The following is a 19604-nucleotide window of genomic DNA, read 5'->3' as shown; positions in this document are numbered from 1 at the left end:
AATAATCCCCTCTTTCTCCCAAATATTTGACCTCTCTCTTCCCAATGAATTCTTTGTATGTAATTGTGTCAAGTCTCTCCCATTAAAACAAAACAACAAAAAAAACAAAAACCCTCCTTCGCTTCCACAATTCTCCATCAACCTTGGCTCTTTCTGCCCCCTGACAAGCAAATTCTTCAAAAGAGTTGTTGATACTTCCATTCTTCCTCTTCTTTTTGCCATTCACTACTCAACAGGCTCCCACAGGTTTCTGACCCCACTGTTCTGCTGAAACATCCCCTGCCCAGCTCATCAATGATCTTTAGTCTTTAAATCCAATACACTAGTTCCATTTCTTTTGTCCATCCAGCAGTTTTTGATGTTGACCACTGTTTCTTTCTGGAACCACTCTCCTCCGTGGGCTCCTATGACCTGAAGCTTCCTGGTTTTTCTTCTGCCTCTATTCACTCAAGCTGTTGTTCAGCCTCCACCTCCTGTAACCAGCCATGAAAATGTTGGTTCATTTTCTCAAGGTTCAGTCTAACTAATCTCTTTTCCCCCCTCACTCTATTCTATCTCCAATTCTCATTGACGTTCCACAACATCAGCTACTGTACACCAGTGACTCCCAAATTTACCTCTAACCTAAAGACTCATCCTAAAGAGATATGGAGTAAAATCAGTGGGTCAGTAAGGTTGAAAATAAGGTTACAAGCCCGCAGGATGGAGACTGTGGTTGAAGTTGACATGTGAACTAGTCACCATCAATGCTGGACAAGTTAGACTTGTCCCTAAAGTTCCAGAAGACTTTATCCAACCATCCTTTGACAGCTCCTCTTAGAGCCTGGGCATCACTTAACCTGTCCAAACTAAACTCACACACTCCTTCTCAATCCAGTCCTCTCCAGGAGTCCATATGTTGGTGTACAGCTCCACTGTCCACCCAGGTGCTCAGTCCAGAAACCTAGATGACATCAAGGGAATTTGTATGTTCCCTGTCCCCATTTCCAACCCAGCATCAAGCTCAGTCTATTTCCCTTCCCCGCTCTGTCTTGAATCCTTCCACTCCCTTCCTCTGCATGACCACTCCAATCTACCCGCCATCATCCCTTGCCCAGACCACTGGGAAGGCTCCTCCTTGCTCTCGGTTTGTTCATTCTTGCTCTGCCCCAGTCCCCTATGAGCACTGCAGCTCAAGGGCTCTTTTCAAAACACAGAGAGGAGGATCCTATCTATCTCCTCCAAACTCTCCAATGCCTTCTTACTGCTTTTAGAGGGAAGGCTGGTTTATTGATGTGGCCGACAGGCCTACATGTGGGCCCCCGCTCTCCTCTTTAGCCTCACCTCATATCATTATCTCATGTATGACTGTCCCCACAACACAGTCACTGCTCCTTCAGTCCAGGGATACCCTTCTCTGTCCACCCCCCTGTAGTGTGACATCGAGAAAGCCATCCCTACTCCCAAGTGACACCAAGCTCCTGCCCTTAAATGGTCCTGTGGCTCTCTGTACCTTTCTTTTGTAAAACTCATTACAAGTTTTATACAATGATCAATGTCTTTCATTTCCCTAGCCTCGATAAGTTTTAGGAGGAGAAGGTCTGTTTCTAGTTTCATTCATTCTGATAATTAACATAGTAACTGTCTCACAGAGTAAGTGCTATTATAATTCAAGGAGTGGCAATAGAATTGAACTTTTGAGTTGTCATCGAGTATTATCAAGTATTTATCGAGCTTATGGTATACAAGAGATACAAATCTCATTGAGATTATCTGATTAGGAGATGAGGGTGGATGTACAAAGACAGACAAAGCATACATATTTACTAAACGCCAGAGACTGACAGCCTAGTTGGGGAAGGAAGACTTATGCCAAAATTCTTTTGATAATTGTAATGAATGAAACCTCAAAAATTGTCAAGTGAAAAGCAATAAGCAGAGTGTGAAGAGCCTAGCAGGTGCTTCAGACAATAGATGAAGCAGGATTCTTGAAGGAAAGCTGGCTGAGATGCTCAGAGAGGCCTCCTAAAACCACTGGATAGAATTTCAATAAACAGAGGGAGAGGAAGCGTAGTCCAGGCAGGGGAATGACACGCAGGACAGTGAGGAGGCTGTGGCCATCCAGTTGCCGTCTTTGTTGAGAGCCCACAGCGAGGCAGTTATAACGCACTACACACCTGGTACCTACCATATGTGCACCTGACAACAACCTGGAGGTATTATTATTCCTTTTTCACACACAAGGAAACTGAGGCTCAGGAAAGTAATGGAGCTTGTCACAACTCATGTGGAGAGTGAGAGGCAGAACTCGGACTCAGTCCAGAGGTAGCTTATTGCCAAAGCCCAAGCCTACAACAACCCTATCTGCCCACCCCACCTTGCTGGAGCAGAGAGCTCAAGGAAGCGGGCAGAGGGAACTGGCGCCAGACGCTAAACCTGGGCTTAATGTGTGGCCAGGATTATCTAAGGACCAGGCAGAATCAAAGCCACATTCATTGTGCCCTGCTTTTCTAGAATGCAGACACACTGGACAGATTGTTTTTAAATGCTGGAATTAGGCCAGGCGCGGTGGTTCACACCTGTAATCCCAGCACTTTGGGAGGCTGAGGTGGGTGAATCACAAGGTCAGGAGATGGAGACCATCCTGGCTAACATGGTGAAGCCCCGTCTCTACTAAAAATACAAAAAAAAAAAAAAAATTAGCTGGGTGTGGTGGCGGGCGTCTGTAGTCCCAGCTACTTGGGGAGGCTGAGGCAGGAGAATGGCGTGAACCTGGGAGGCGGAGTTTGCAGTGAGCCGAGATGGCGCCACTGCACTCCAGCCAGGGCGACAGAGCGAGACAGACCTATTTAGAGACATAGAACAAACAGATAGGAAATAAGTGAAGAAGCTCAGCTTCTCCCAGTTTTGTGCTTCGGTATCAAAAGGAACATTCATTATCAATGTGGCTAGATCAGAACCCAGGCTGGTTCATCTGGAAGCAGCACCTGCAGAAATGTCAGCAAGGCACAGCCTAGCAAAGGTGATGCGGGGTCTGGCTACATCGCGGTGGTGCCGCAGACAGCCTCTTGCAAACAAACTCTCCTGCCCACAGCCTCCCACTACAGAAAGCCCTGTCTCCTGGGTTTCGTCATGGGATTGCTGCTGAGAGCTTTTTCGACTTAAAAAAAATTTCATCAATTTCTCATTCTATGTTCATTAATAACTCCTATTGAGAAGCATACAATTATAATGTGTTCTGAGTCTGTGGAACAACATTGAACAATTAGTGCAACTGGAGGTGGCCTCAGAGGAAAGAGGCAGCACCACCTCCTTCTCCTAGAAATCTCAGGTCAAGATTCCTTGGGTCGGAACTCCTCGGCCTCTCCCACAACATGCCATGGTTAGCTTGAGGAAATGTAAGATAAGTGAGGAGGAGGGAAAGCAAAAGCACAGTGATTTATAAACTCCCTTTCTTTTTCTTTCTTTTTTTTTTTTTTTTTTTTTTGAGATGGAGTCTCACTCTGTCACCCAGGCTGGAGTGCAATGGCACAATCTCAGCACTCTGCAGCCTCCACCTTCGAAGTTCAGGTGATTCCTTCTGCCTCAGCCTCCCGAGTAGTTGGGATTACAGGCACCCGCCACCACACCCAGCTAATTTTTGTATTTTTGGTAGAGACGGGGTTTCACCATGTTGGCCAGGCTTGTCTCGAATTCCTGACCTCAGGTGATCTGCCCGCCTTAGCCTCCCGAAGTGCTGGGATTACAGGCATGAGCCACCGCGCCTGGCCTAAACTCCCTTTCTGTAGGTGACCTGATTTAAATATCTGCAGTTTTAAAAAAAACTTTAAAAACCCAAAGTAATGAGTTCAGTGTGATGTGATTGGACAAATGACTGACCCCAAGAAATAGCAGGAAGAAGGTTAATTTTCATCATTTTGTCAGGTGGCATCCACACTCCAAGAAGCAGCATAATAAAATTAAGACTGTCTATTCCAAGAGAAGTCATTTTAAACTTGCACCTATTGGCAATTTGGTTAGGAGAAAATGCACCTATTGGCAATTTGGTTACAAGTGAAATTAAAGTATCCAGGAAAGGAAATAATCTATTCTGGATTTTGTCCCCCACTCTAAATATTAGCAAGATGACATCCCATGGAGATCCCAGACCAGCTCTCCAGGGTTAGCAGCTAAAATGTTGATGTCTATAACGTGTGCCAGTAGCATTCCCCAGAGGAAAGGTAAACCTTACAGACCACAGCTTTCCCCATCATCTTTCCGAGAAGTCCAAGAGTTCAGCCAGCAGGTGCCATTCATGAAGGTTTGAGTGACAAGGCCCAGCTACTTGCAAGACTTCCTCCCCTCCACGGCCCACAGCTCTGTAGACAGAGCTCCCTGGCCTCAGTGATTGCAGCCTATGCCCTCAGGGGCACAGCCTCCTCCCCTGTAGATTCCTCCCCCGTTTTACACCTGCATGCTCAGAAATGCCACCCCTACCAGCTGTGCTTCAGCCTGATGTCCCCCTCCCTGGGCTGTCTGATGAGGGTCAGTGGTAGCAGCAGCCCAGCTCACTCCTGGCTAACCCAGGCTGGAAAGGCTTCCTGCAGCCTCAGAACAGTCACGGATCACAGGCATGACTTCTGACACATTCTGCCAGCTCAGACTGCTTGTCCCAACTTGAGGTCCAGGAAATGCAATCAGTGTTAGCAGTGCCATTTTCCACGCAATATCAACATAAACCAAGGTATAGATGCTGCCTCTGCTGCCACAAAGCTCTGCTGAGGTGTTTGTTACTCACAGTTCCCAAAGTCGGGGCCACACCATGTCATTGGGGGGCAGAGGTGTTCCACATGAGGAAGCACCCTGTCAGCCAGGAGGGAACAAGGGAGGGAAGCTGTGGGCAAGACCCCTTATCATGGTTTCCATGAGAAGGAATGGATGATGCTGGTCAGCAGGCTTAGGATGGGCTAGTTTGGATCATTTCAGCAGACTCTGGAGCATGGAGACTGTCCCTAATGTTTGAGGCCTAACTCTGGGGGGGATTAAGGTGAGTGGATCATGGCCTGGAGTGAGAGAGCTTCATGAGAGAAGTGATTGGGGGTATGGACCCTGGAGCCATTGGTTTGCATCTGAAAAGTGATTCCATGGGCAAATGTTGTTTACTGGTCTCTGGCAATTGGGTCAGCACAGCCTCAGATGTCAAAGGATCAGAATACAGAAAATAAAAGACATGGTTAAGACACTAACCCAGAACTAAGCCGTTTCTGACATAGACACAAAATACAGCTTCCCCTCCATCCCGACCCTACTCATACACACATCTGTCGGCCAAGTCTTTATGTCTAATAGGACACTCTTAGAAGTAAGACCAAAAAACCTCATGGATCCAAAGAAATGAGCTAAAAAGTAAGAATTAAGTCAGCCCCTTCAAGTTATAATAAGGATACCAATAATAGCCCATGCATAATAAGTGATGTCATGAAGAACATGTTACATGTTCTGCCCTGTGCTATATCCTCATGTATTACTTCATTTAATACATGACTTGTCTTCCTCAAAATAGGACAGATGAAAGGGCTCCATCCCTCCCCGTCGCTCTGATCCCTACACACAGTCTATTTCCACCACCTTGGAAGAGCTGCTGTTGAAACTAAACTAACTGAAACTTGGCCAGGCACGGTGGCTCAGGCCTGTAATCCCAGCACTTTGGGAGGCTGAGGTGGGCGGATCACGAGGTCAGGAGATGGAGACAGTCTTGGCTAACACGTGTGAAACCCCGTCTCTACTAAAAAAGTACAACAAATTAGCCGGGCGTGGTGGCAGGCGCCTGTAGTCCCAGCTACTGGGGAGGCTGAGGCAGGAGAATGCCGTGAACCCGGGAGGCGGAGCTTGCAGTGAGCCGAGATCGCACCACTGCACTCCAGCCTGGGCGACAGAGCCAACTCCGTCTCAAAAAAAAAAATAAAAATAATTTAAAAAACTAACTGAAACTGCACCGTGACCCAGGATTCTGGTACCTGCTGTTCCTGCTCTCTGGCTCTGCTGAACATCGCCCGGCACACCGGCTGCTGGAACTGGAACATGCCAACCCTCCCTAGAGGGAAAACAGTGTGTTGAGATGACAGAGATTAGCCCAGAGAGGCACACAGTGCTGTTACTCAGCTCCCGCTCGTCTTTAAAAGCCTGAGCCAAATAAATGATTAAGCTACAAGGATCTCATGTCACCCCGGGATAATAACAAGCTACAGGTGTGAATATAAATTGATGAGATAATCCTGTTATTACTAGAATTTCACAGGACAGAACTTGGGCACATGGTGGTGATTTGTGAGCCAAGGGATGTAGCGTGGTGGGGGTTTATTTTGCCACACCAAGTTTTCATTTGTTCCTGAAAATATTTCTTATGAAATATATATAAAAAATATTTGAAATGCTAAACTCTCCTAGGTTACATTACCCCAGTTAATGTAGGAATGTAGAGATCCGTTGATATATACACTTGAAATAAATACTTCAAAACTAGACTTGGACTGAAGGAGACTCTCTGACTTCTAAATGTATTACGCATACATTTACGAGGATGTACGAATTCAGAAGGCTTGTCTCACATTCTATAAACCAAACCAAATTTTCCACAAGTCAGGAAAGATTCCAAGTGTGAAGAAAGGGTGAGAGTCCTTAACAGAGTCATAAGTGGATTTTTACCCCCGTTTTATTAACTGTTCACTGTTAAGTCCGAAGAAGTGAGGGACTTCCAGCAGATCACAAGAGAGGCTGTGCACTGGACTCTGGACCTCTTGAGACAGCTCTAATAGTAAAAATGAATCAGATTTATGAAGAAGCTCTGGAAAAGGCTGCTACGTGACTCTACAAGTAATATTTTCTAGTCTAGTAGCTACCACCAAAGGAACACTGGTACCTGGGATACCACTGGGTGCTCACCCGTTCCAGGGTCACCGCAGCCCCAGAGCAGCCTAGGCAGAATGGCTTAGAACCTCTGGGACAAAACTTCCCTATTAAACATGGTTCAAACACTTCACTGCCACCAAGATCCACAGACCTTCACAAACATGGAGGATGCAAACTACATTTACTTTTCCAAATTTGCCCACTATTTCAATTTAAGACTGCCTTCATTAGATGACCCACGAGAAGATGTGGTTGCTTCGATAAATATGTCTCTATTTTATCATCTTCCTGGTGCTGGATTTGTGAGTCACTCTGTAAGGAGCTTGTTTGGTTTTTTTGTTTATTTGTTTTTATTTGTTTGTTTTTAAAGACAGAGTCTTGCTGTATTGCCTAGGCTGGAGTGCAGTAGTGCAATCATGGCTCACCACAGCCTCGACCTCTGGGGTTCAAGCAATCCTCCCTATTCAGCCTCCCCTCCTGAGTAGCTGGGACCACACCCAGCTAAATTTGTTTTATTTTATGTAGAGACAAGGTCTCTTTATGTCGCCCAGGCTGGTCTCTAACTCTGGCCTCAAATGATCCTCCTGCCTCAGCCTCCCAAATTGCTGGGATTACGAGTTTGAGCCACCATACCCAGCCTTGTTTTAAAAAATCTATTGCTTTTGGTTCAAAATTCTTTAAAGTCTGTTTTTTCACAAAAAAAAAAAAAAAAAACCCACCTGTTTTCTTGCAACCAGTGATGCTCTCCTTTCTTCTTCCCTTGCTCATCAGCCCTCCTCCCCATGAGAAGGGCACCTTGGAATCTTTTAGAAAGGATGCGGAGGTGAGGAGGGAGGGCAGGAAGTCCGGCTATTGTTTCGCCAGTCTCCCTTAACTTTAAGAAGAATTTAAAACACGCTCAAGGCATTTCCTTTTGACAGGCTATTAACAAAGCAGGGTACAAACTGGTCCTCAGAGAATGGCGATATTTTATCACTCTGCAAATTGATCAAATGTGGCTCCCGAGGTGCAAAATTAATGAGAACGTAAACAATTATGAAAAGGCAATAAAAGTGAACTATAGCTAGGCCAGGCGTAAGCTGTGTTTAATTTTTAGTTTAATTTCTCCAGTTTCTCTATACTTCTGAAATATCAGTCAGATTCATAGACCTAAAAATATGTCGGGGGGAGAGGTTTACACGTTCTATTTCCTTCCAACAAGTAAATTACCCAGTTACTAAATCAAGCCTTAGACACATGCATCTTATACCACAGAGGCAAATCTCGGTTTGGGGAACCAAAAGTTGTTTTAATAGGTATTATATGGCATTATATGCTTTGACAAATCAGTAAAAGTTCTCCTTTTTTTAACTTTTATTTTAAGTTCAGGGGTACATGTGCAGGTTTGTTGTATAGGTAAACTTGCGTCATGGGGATTTTTTATACAGCTTATTTTATTAGCCAGGTATTAAGCCTAACACCCATTGGTTATTTTTCCTGATCCTCTCCCTCCTCCACCCTCTGCCCTCCACCAGGCCCCAGTGTGTGTTGTTCCCCTCTATGTGTTCATGAGTTCTCATAATTTAGCTCCCACTTTTAAGTGAGAACATGTGGTATTTGGTTTTGTGTTTCTGCATGAGTTTGCTGAGGATAATGCCCTCCAGCTCCATCCATGTTCCTGCAAAGAACATGATCTCATTCTTTTTTATGGCTGCATAGTATTCCATGGTGTATATGTACCACATTTTCTTTATCCAATCCACAATTGATAGGCATTTAGGTTGATTTCATGTCTTTGCTATTGTGAATAGTGCTGCAATGAACCTACACATGCATGTGTCTTTGTAACAGAAAAATTTATATTCCTCTGGGTATGTACCCAGTAATGGGACTGCTGGGTCGATTGATATTTCTGTTTTTAGGTCTAAACTTCTTTCTCTCTAGTAACCCTCTGCCTTCAGGAGACCTTTCTATTCACTTTCACCTTCCTGGATAATTGCCCAGATGCAAATGTGTGGCAAAGGGAGGTCTAGAGACCTAAGGGGTCACAGGGGATTGTGGGAGACCAATAGTTTGCACAGGATGACAAATTTAGCTTTTCCTCAGGTGTCCACATCTGGGTGGTATCACCTTAGTCCAGAGCTTGTTTGCAAACAACAGATAGAGACCCTGACACACATTGGTCCGACTCCCGTGCAGCAACTCCCTGGCCCCTCCAGCTACCCACCCCTTGCCCATTCTTCAGGGCCCAGCTAAAGGCATTCTTCCTTTTCCAGGAGCAAGGGTAGAGGCAGGGCCAGACCAGTGAGTTTGCCCACAACAGGAGCTCTGAAACCACTGCACTCACTCTTACCAGGTCCCTTGGCTCTGAGTGTCTTGGTCTGATGGCCAGTCTGTTTCCTGTCCACAGGGTGGCTTCCCTGAGCTCCTGGTTTCATGAAGGGCTAGGTAATTAAGATGAGACCATCATAGAGGGTTTGCCTCTACTGTTTTTTCCACTTGACTGCTACAGAAACAATGTAGACAGAGTTTCCTAGGAGCTTTTGTCTTCTCAAAAGCACAATACCTGCCTTTAACACCAGTGGTAAACATACTAGGACTGGAGCCCATAGATCCATGAAAATTGCCCAACTATATGCCTGTTGTCCATCAAAAAGATCCTAAGTCTTTTGTTAAGCTGTCCCCCCCACCACCCATAGCTCTATATTGTTCAGTTATCATACTCAAAACTTGGAGGTCTGTCTGTTTTTACTAGAATCATAAAGTCCATTGACATAGATGTTTATGTTTCAGCTACACAGAGCAATAATATCACATAAGCTTTCCCAAGACTTGTCAACTCACCAGAGGGCATGCTCAGGATCACAGATCCTGCTTTTATCTTTCATGATGAAGACATTTTAGTTATAAGTATCTTTTTTTGTTTTAGTAGAAAGTTTTTAAATTTTTAAGCCAAACTTCCTTCTCCCAGCCTCACCCATCTCTCCAGAACCTTAAATAGTTGATCACCTCCTCCCCTACCTGTAGATGGAGCCACACCCACTCAAACAGAGCCTTTCTCAGCCATGTTTAAACATGGTCGGATGCTCACGGCTTTCAGAACTCACCCAACCCCATATCCCTTGCTAACTTTTGCCTTCTCCCCTATCTTCGGGGTCAGATGCTTGAGAAACTTTTCTATATTGACTTCCCACCTCCTCACCTCAAACACTTCTCAAACCACCTCACTGGCTCCCTCTTTACCCCTCAGCTTTGACCACCATGTTTGAATCCAATGCATATTGTTCAGTTTGCGGCAGTTTTCTCTTTTAGCATTTTCTGACAGCGTTAACCACTTGCTCTTCCTGAAATATCCTCCTCACGTGGCTTCTGCCGCCCTTTGCTCTCCGGATCTTCTACTGCCTCTCCAGCCTCTCTCTTTCAACATCCTGGACAGGCTCATCCCCCTTCTCCTGCCCATCAGATGTTACGTTTTCACAGGCTTTGTCTCCTGCTCAGCCTTTCCTTCTCATTTGACCCTCCCTAGGCAATCTCGCCCCCTCCCAGGCTTCTGTTATCATCCATATGCCACTGATATCCCCACTGTGTATGTCTAACCAAGGCCTCTTCTGTAGATCTGAGATTTGGTTATCCCGATGGCCTGCTCAATATTCTTGCATGTGTCAAAGCCACAACAATGTAAACATGTCCAAAACCAAACGTATCATCTTCCTGCATTCAAGATTCCCAGTGGCACCACCATCCATCCGTCCTGTTGCCCATGCCAGAAACCTGGGTGTCCTTCTCGGCTCTTCCCTCTAACTGGCCCTCATGAATAATTCGTTACAGAGGTCTGTCTACTTGACCTCCTAAATATGTCTTGAATCCATTTCAGTCTCCCTATCTTCATCACTTCTGTTCTAGTCCCAATACTATAATTTCTTCTTCGTGCAATTGAAGCAGCTTTCTATTTCCCCCACATCTGCTTACTTTGTCCTCCTCCAAGTCGTTTTCTCCTCTGCAGTCAGAGCAGTGTTTTCATTTGGTACCAAAAGCTCCCCTGCCCATCCCCCAAACACACTCGTCTACTTTCAGCTTCTTGAACACCCAAGGAGCCTTCCTACAACAGCTCTTCCCCCTGCAAATGCTGTTCCCTCTGCTTGTAGGGCATTCACCCTTACCCCACACGTTGCCTTATCCATCCTTCAAATCTTAGCTCAAATGTCACATCCTCAGGGAGACATTTTTACTAATTTGCACACAAGACCAAATACAGTCCTTTTTTACAGTCTCATAGGATAATCCACCTTTACTTCATTGCATTTATCACAGGAGTAACTTTATATTTATTCGGATTCTCAGTAGACTATACATCCAATGAATCCGAGGGCCAAGTCATCATTCTGTTCTCAGAACCCATCAAAGTGCCTGACACATAATAGATTCTCAATAAATACATGATGAACAAATAAATGAAATTATTACCAGCTGGGTCTTTTTACTCATTTAGCCATTATTTATTAGACATATAGCCAAATACTATACTATGGAATGGAGATAAAATTGTGGCCAAGACAGAGCTCCTGCCCACAGAAACCCCCATCCCCAGACTTGAGAGAGATACAGACAAGTATTGACAGTTACAATTTGGTGAAAAAGATTCTGATGGGGTGAGCACTGGATACTGTGAAAGTGTGTGAGGTTCCTATAACCCAGTTGCAGCTTAAGTAAATTCCCTCTTCCTATTCCCTACTTTTTCTTAAACCTCCTCCCCATTACATGCATGCACGCACTTAACCCTGGAAGAGTTGTTTTATTCTTCTACTTCTGCTTTCCTTTGTTTTATTTGAACCTGGGATCCTATGGGCTTTAGTGAGTTCATGAGCACCTGATCATTGGGAAACTTTGGAATGCATGTATATTTTAAGAGAAGAGGATCTATGAGTTTCATCAGATTCCCAAAAGGGTCCTTGCCTCAAAAAGTTAAGAACCAGTGCCTGAAAAATGCAGAATAATGAGGGACAATGAAATGAAGGGCGACTCTTTAAATACCACGCATCAAAGAGTATTTTGAAATGTCCAAAGAACAAGTATATGTAAAGTAAACCCTGACATCAATAGGAAGCCAAGACATGGCATCACCAGATCTTTCCCTGTGGAGGTTTTTATTCCACTTGAAAGAATCAACAAACAACAAAACATATGATGTAAGGGACAAACGCTATTGATCAATGAGGCTAATTCTACAAGAAAGGTCAGCTGTTGCTTTTACACTTGACCAAGGAAAGGAAGGGAATTAAGAGCATCCCTAGTGGTGTCCTCAGGCAGAGCCATGTGTTGAGTACTTTCACATGTGATGCTTCACATTGATGTGATAGCACCTATAATCTGGTCATTGTTTTCCCCATGTGACTGATGAGGAAGTGAGAGAGGTGAAGTAGCCTGTCCTAGGTCCCACAGCCATTCCAAGCAGCCAAGATTCAAACCCAGGCCTGTGTGCCTCCCACTCCTGTAGTGTGGCCCCTAGGCTTCATTGAGGAGACTGTGCTCTGTAAAATGAAATGAATGCATTAAGTGATTTCAAATTACTTTAGCAGAAGGAACCTATTATTCAGTTTCTTGTTCTGAAACATTGTTTCCATGGGAAAAGACTGGGAAACAAGAACGTGTATGCATATATGTTTGCTTTGCTTATTTTTACAGAAGGAGACACAGGAAGGATTGTATTGGTTCATTCTTTCACTGCTATAGACTGGGTAATCTATAAAGAAAAGAGGTTTAATTGGCTCACAGATCTGCAGGCTGTACAGGAAGCATGATAGCATCAGATTCTGGGGAAGCCCCAGGAAACTTACAATCATGGCAGAAGGGGAAGGGGAAGCAGGTATGTCTTACATGGCTGGAGCAGGAGGAAGAGAGAGAGAGTCAGGGAAATGCCACACACTTTTAAACAAAATCTCATGAGAACAGCACCAAAGAGGAAAATCTGCCTCCATGATCCAGTCGTCTTCCACCAGGCCACCTCCAACATTGAGGATTACAGTTCAACATGAGATTTGGGCAGGGACACAAATCCAAACCATATCAAGGATCTAGCAGAAATGAATAAAAATGACCTCACATTGGAGGTGGGCAGAAGGAGTTTAGGATGGGAATGAGACTTTTCTGAATATGTCTTTTTGTGCTGACTAAATTTTTGAACCATTTAAATGGCTTACAAGTTTAAAAACAAAATAGAAAAAGAATGACAAAAGCAAACCCTAAAGGGAAACACAAATAGAAACAAAGGAACCTAACTGTTTATGCAATGGATAACATAACCACATAGAAAAAAAAATAGTTCAGGTAACTTTTGAACACAGTGTTTTGATTGTACAACCTCGTGGGAATATTCTAGGATTTAAAAGAATTGCAAGCAATTTTTAGTTTTACCTCAGAGGTTTGTAGTTGTTGGTATCAAAAGGGCAAAGTGCATCTGTAGAATTAACAAAAGGCTATTTATTGAGATCATACAAGGAAGACTGCTACCATCACTTTCCTCCTAGTGAAAAATCAAAGGAGGGTGGGTTTTATAGAGTAAAAGAAGGAAGTCTTAAGACAAATAATCTTTGCTTGGTGAGTGTTCTATTAGGTAGAATTTTTGGAAGTAGGGAAGCTTTCTGATTGGCTTTCAAGTGCATTGGGCAGTTTGTGATTGGTCCATCACCTACTGGTACATTATTGGGAGCCCTCAGGCTAAATAAGGTGACATGGGATTTTCTTTTTCAACTGGAGGAATTGCTGGTCCTTAGCTGTGAGGTCTGAGTCTTGCATAAGCAATTCCTCAGTAGAGTTAAGGATGTGACCGTTCCGAAAGTGTTTTGTATGTTTTGTAGGAGAGAGCCTACATATACAGGTTGTTGAGAATTCAGATTCTTACTGTTGGAGGAGGAAGATACAAATATAGAATGGGAGAATTTGAAGAAGTTTCCTGCAGTTTGAGATTTGATTTGGGGCTATCTCGTGATTTCTTAAAAGTAAATGAAGGTTGCCTGGTGTCTGCAAGCAATTTTCTGAAGATGGTAGCCAGGACCCCAGATTTGGGCAGAGAATAAACACCATTTGTGTGGAAGATGAGGTAAGAATGGACAGGCTTAAAAGGAAAGCTAGCGGAGGGTGGAAATGGTAGGCAGAAGGGAGTGGCAATTTGGGACAAATGGTGGCCAGGTGCTGGTGTGCAGAATGCCTTTGGCTATGATCATTCATTTGCACTCCATTTTATTTTGTAAAATATGTTATCAATCTTTAGGTGTAAGACACTATAGCAGTTATAAAGATCAAAATTTATGGCTGGGAGCGGTGGCTCACACCTGTAATCCTAGCACTTTGGGAGGCTAAGAAGGGTGGCTCACCTGAGGTCGGAAGTTCAAGACCAGCCTGGCCAACATGGTGAAACCCCATCTCTACCAAAAATACAAAAATTAGCAGGGCATGGTGGTACACGCCTCTAATCCCAGCTACTTGGGAGGCTGAGGCAGGAGAATCACTTGAACCCAGGAGGCAGAGGCTACAGTGAGCTGAGATCACGTCACTGCACTTCAGCCTGGGCAACAGAGCGAGACTCCATCTTAAAAATAAAAATAAATCAAGATCAAAATTAACATGTGGTCTCTGTCCTCAAATGTAGAAATAATAGTGTTGTGGTTGACAGCGTAGACTCTGGAGCTTGGCCTCCTAAATGAGAACCCTCACCCCACTACCTATTGTACCTACTTGTCTGCTTAGGCTGCCACAGCAACATACCAGACTCAGTGGCTTTAACAGGAGAAATGTATTTCCTTACAGTTCTAGAGGCTGAAAGTCCAAGATCAAGGTGTCAGCAGGGTTGGCTTCTGCTTAGGGCTCTCTGCCTAGCTTGTAGGACAACCACCTTCTTGCTGTGTCCTCACACGGCCTCTTCTGTGTGCATGTAGAAAGAGCGTACACATGCTCTGTTGTCTCTTCCTCTTAAGGATACCCATTCTTATGATCTCATTTGACTTAACTTATCTCCCTAAGGCCAGTTCTCCAGATACAGTCATATTGGAGGTCAGGGCTTTGAATATGAATTTTGGGGCATGATATTCAATCCACAGCACTATGTGACCCAGAGAAGTTACTTAATCTGTCTTTGCCTTAGTTTGCTCACACATAAGATCATAGCATCTGTCTGAGAAGACTGTTTCAGGGACCAGATGGTTGGCTCACACCGAGCACACACTGAGCCCAGCACACAGTAAACACTCAATAAATAACATTTCTTACTTAATTCAATACTTAATTTATACACTTATCAATGACCTTGGTGAGAATAGAATTAGGAGTACACATGTAGGATCTTTTTTAGACATTTTTAAAAATCCACACTTCCATTTGTTTTTGCATAACTGGAGGTGACCCTCACTGGCCCTCTAATATTTGGGTAATAGAAGAAACACAACTGTTCATTGAAGGGATTTTTAACCTGAGCCTAGGGCAGGGCTCATCGTTATTTAAATGTTCGGCAGTTGGCAAAACCTAATGAACTAAAACCATGATTATGCCAGAAATCACACTATCCTGCTTCTTTTTGACACTGGGCTTGGTTAATCACCAACATCATTCTCCCACATGAAAAGCGACCCAGCACTGACTTCTAAGTGCACAACACTTTATTACTGCACTGATTCAGCACAGTTCTTATTGAGAATGGGCACAGGAGTAAAGGAAAAGGAAAACATCATCTATGTAGCCTGGTGTTTGAAATAAAATGGTTAAGTGTCTACAATCAGTTCTGTTTTTGAATATTGGCAATACAGATTCATTTTACAGTATTCAGAAGTGGTGAGAGTGGTTTGTATCCATCTAATTTTATTGGAATCATATCCTCCAGGCTGTTTTCATGTATTGTCTATGTATTGACTATACCTCTGGCTTTGTCCAGGGGGTTCTCTCATGAGGATGACTTTCATCATATTGGTATTCTGCACACAAACTTCTCCCACCATAATTTGTCACAGGATCTAAAAATAGGGCTTTGCCTGTTAAATCTCCATCTTGCAGGGCCTGCCCCTGTGTTTGCTCAGTGCCTATGGCACATTCCTTAGCTATGTTTCAGTCTGTTTTCCTGGATCCTAGGCAGAGTGAGCTTTGCAATCACCACCCGTAACACGCACTCCCTTCCCCTCCAAGCTCTCCTTCTCACATGGTCTTATTGGGAATGAAACGGCCACCCAAAGACAGGTTGTTTGCATGCATGTCCCTGCAAGCTTAACTCTTGGAAGAATAACTAGGCATCCAGACAGAGAAGCTCTCAGTGGAGAAACTGCGGAATGAAATAATTGTTAAAAGCTACGCACACACGCACACTCCTACACACCCTTTGGAGAAATAACTTAGTTCAGACAACACTGTGGAAATCAAGCAGCCTTCCTGTCCTGGGTGAGTTTGCGTGTCAGTTTGACTGCGCTGGGGATACCCAGGTAGCTAATAAGACATTATTTATGGGTGTGTCTGTGAGGGTGTTTCCAGAAGAGACTGGCATTTGAATCTGAAGTGAGTAAAGAAGATCTGCCCTCACCTGTGTGGGTGGGCACCATCCAATCCATTGAGGACCCAGATAGAACAGGGAAAAGGCAGGGAAAAGGGAAATCAGCTCTCTCTTCTAGAGATGGGTGTCCATCCTCTCCCTCAGACATCAGTACTCCACGTTCTCAGACCTTCAGAGCCCAGGACTTAGACCAGTAGCTCTCCCCTACCCACCACCAAATACGTGAATAGTTAATGGTTCTGAAAACACTGAACAAGAAGGACCTTTGCATGAATAATTACAAGCAGTGTAATACAAAAAATTTCCAACAAAAATGGAATTAGGTGATTTTTTAATATAGTACTTGATAAGTACAAAATAATGTACCTCACATATTGTTATAAAATGTGATAATAAAACACTTGTAATTTAGCTGGGTGTGGTGGCGCATGCCTGTAATCCCAACACTTTGGGAGGCTAAGGCAGACAGATCAATTGAGCTTGGAAACTCGTGACCAGCCTGGGCAACATGGCAAAAACCCATCTCTACAAAAAATACAAAAATAGTCAGGTGTGGTGGCACATGCCTGTAATCCCAGCTACTCAGGAGGCTGAAGTGGGAGGATCACCTAAGCCTGGGGAGGTTGAGGCTGCAGTGAGCCAAGATCTTGCCACTGCATTACAGCCTGGGCAACAGAGAGAGACCCTGTCTCAAAAAAACAAAATAATAGGCCAGGTGCGGTGGCTCACACCTGTAATCCCAGCACTTTGGGAGGCTGAGGCAGGCAGATCACCTGAGGTCAGGAATTCGAGACCAGCCTGTCCAACATGGCAAAACCCCATCTCTACTAAAAATACAAAAATTAGCCGGGCGTGCTGGCAAGCGCCTATACTCCAAGCTACTTGGGAGGCTTGGGGGAAGGATCTCTTGAACCTGGGAGGCGGAGGTTGCAGTAAGCCCAGATCACACCACTGCACTCCAGCCTGGGCAACAGAGTAAGACTCCATCTCAAAATAATAAATAAATAAAATAAAGTAATATTATATAAAATACTTGTAACTTGGCCACTCAATTTAAGAGCTAGAACACTGCTAACCATTATATCTACTTCTATATTCCTTTCTCACCCCAATATAACTACTTGTTTTTAACATTCCCTTGCTTTCTTTAAAAAAAACCACAAAGTGATTTGGCTGTGCATGGTGGCTCATGCCTGTAATCCCACACTTTGGGAGGCCAAGGTGGGCAGATCACTTGAGGCCAGGAGTTCGAGACCAGCCTGGCCAACATGGCGAAACCCATCTCTACAAAAAATACAAAAATTAGCAGCCGTGGTGGTGCAAGCCTGTAATCCCAGCTCCTCAGGAGGCTGAGACACAAGAATCACTTGAACCCAGGAGGGAGAAACTGCAATGAGCCAAGATCATGCCACTGCACTCCAGCCTGGGTGACAGAGTGAGACTCTGTCTGAAAAAAAAAAAAAAATGATTTGTATGTATTCCTAAATACTATATTATTCACTTATGCTTATTTTAACTTCATAAAAGTGGTATATTTTTAAATTTTATAAAACTTGCTTTTTTGTGGAATATTATGTTTCTAAGATTCATCTATATTAGACCCTGCATGTGTAATTTACTTATTAGTACTTCTTAAAATTCCACTAGGTGAATATATGCCATTGTCTGTCAATGGACAGTTGGGTTGTTTCCAATTTGTTAAAAATGATACTGCTGTCCTAGTTCATTGTGTTACTATAAAGGAATACCTGAGGCTGGGTAATTTATGAAGAAAAGAGGTTCATTTGGTTCTTGATTCTGCAGGCTGTACAGGAAGCATGGCCCCGGCCTCTGGTGAGGGCTTCAGGAAGCTTCCACTCATTGCAGAAGGGGAAAAGGGAGCAGGTGCATGACGCTCACATGGCAAGAGAGAAAGGAAGAGAGAGAGGGGATGGAGGTGCCAGGCTCTTTTTAAACAGTCAGTTCTCATGAGAACTGATAGAACGAGAACTTACTCATTACCTTGGGCGTGGCACCAAGCACCCCATGACCCAAACACCTTCCATCAGGCCCCACCCTCAACACTGGGGATCCAATTTCAACCTGGGATTTGGAGAGGACAAATATCCAAAGTATAACAACTGCTATGAACATAATCATACGTGTTTCCTGTTGCACATGTCCATACTTACTAAATATGTCCTGTGATCTAATAGAGTGAGTCCCTACAGTTTGTTCTTCTCCAGGAGTGTTTTGACTTTTGAGTCTTTGTACTTCCTCATGGTGTAAGAAAGGATTTGTCAAATCCATTTTTTTTTTGACTTTAAGAATGTTTTGTTGGGATTGTATTGAATCTATAAAGTAACTTGGGAAAAACTGACATCTTTAGGATGTTTAATCATCCTATCCATGAACATGATATATCTCTCCATTTATTTAAATCTTCCTTACTGTCTCCCAAATTGTATAATTTGTAAATTGTCATAAAGGTTTTATATTTCTATTATTAGATTGATTTCTAGGGTTTTTTTTGTTGCTAGAGGAAATGGTGAAGGGTTGCTGTTATGTCTTTTATTTGTTGCTGGTATATAAAAAGATACATAAGTTTTCTGCATAGATTTTTAAATTCTAGCCACCTTGCTAAACATTCTTAGTAATCCTAATAGTTGTACTACTCTTGTGGATTTTCTATGTACACAGTTATATTATCTGCAAATAATGAAAGTTTCATTTATTTTTGAATCAAATTATTGTATTTATCTTATTTTTACTGGCAAAGGCCTTTGGTAAAATACTGAATAGAAAAGGTGATAGCAAGCATTTACTGCATCTGTATTTAAAATCACTGGTCCTGACTTTAAACAATCCTAACTTTTGATCATCATCATCATCAAAAATAATGATTGTTTAGATTTTTGGTAGATACAGTTGGTCTCATATTCAAAGTTTATTAAGAAGTTTCATCATAAGTGGTTTTTGAATTTTATCAAATGAATTCTATGCACATATTTAAATGATCTTTCAATCTTTTAACATGATAAATTATATGATCAGTATTCTAAGGTTAAACCACCCTTGCATTCCTTGGAATAAACCCAACTTGATCATGGTGTCTTTTTTTCTAAACTGTTAGATTTGGTTTGCTAATATTTCTTCTAGGATTCTTGTAGCTACACAAGTGAATAATATGGGCTTGTGTTCTCCCTTTTTTTCTCTCTTTCTTGTACTATATTTATGACTTTATTATCAAGAT

The 19604-nt window shown here is 43.3% G+C and overlaps 1 protein-coding gene and 1 long non-coding RNA gene across 2 annotated transcripts in view, besides 1 other annotated feature; one reads left to right on the top strand and one right to left on the bottom strand.

Annotated features, from left to right (window-relative positions):
- The window catches only part of KCNJ6-AS1 (KCNJ6 antisense RNA 1), a 222067-nt gene that overhangs the window by 88104 nt on the left and 114359 nt on the right, over positions 1-19604 (bottom strand). The window lies entirely within an intron of this gene.
- Positions 1-19604, top strand: part of KCNJ6 (potassium inwardly rectifying channel subfamily J member 6) — a 309085-nt gene that overhangs the window by 263859 nt on the left and 25622 nt on the right. The gene's annotated exons all lie outside the window — the stretch shown is intronic.
- Positions 4054-4554: an enhancer, noted in NCBI's record as "H3K4me1 hESC enhancer chr21:39020347-39020847 (GRCh37/hg19 assembly coordinates)". NCBI's record gives its function as "activates a minimal SCP1, AML or CMV promoter by ChIP-STARR-seq in primed H9 embryonic stem cells {active_cell/tissue: H9 hESC(primed)}" and the evidence as "EXISTENCE:reporter gene assay evidence [ECO:0000049][PMID:30033119]".

This window comes from Homo sapiens, chromosome 21 (genome assembly GCF_000001405.40).
Source record: "Homo sapiens chromosome 21, GRCh38.p14 Primary Assembly".
Taxonomy (NCBI): Eukaryota; Metazoa; Chordata; class Mammalia; order Primates; family Hominidae; genus Homo; species Homo sapiens.
The sequence above is the reverse complement of the archived record's forward strand: the minus strand, read 5'-3'. Positions and strand labels throughout refer to the sequence as shown.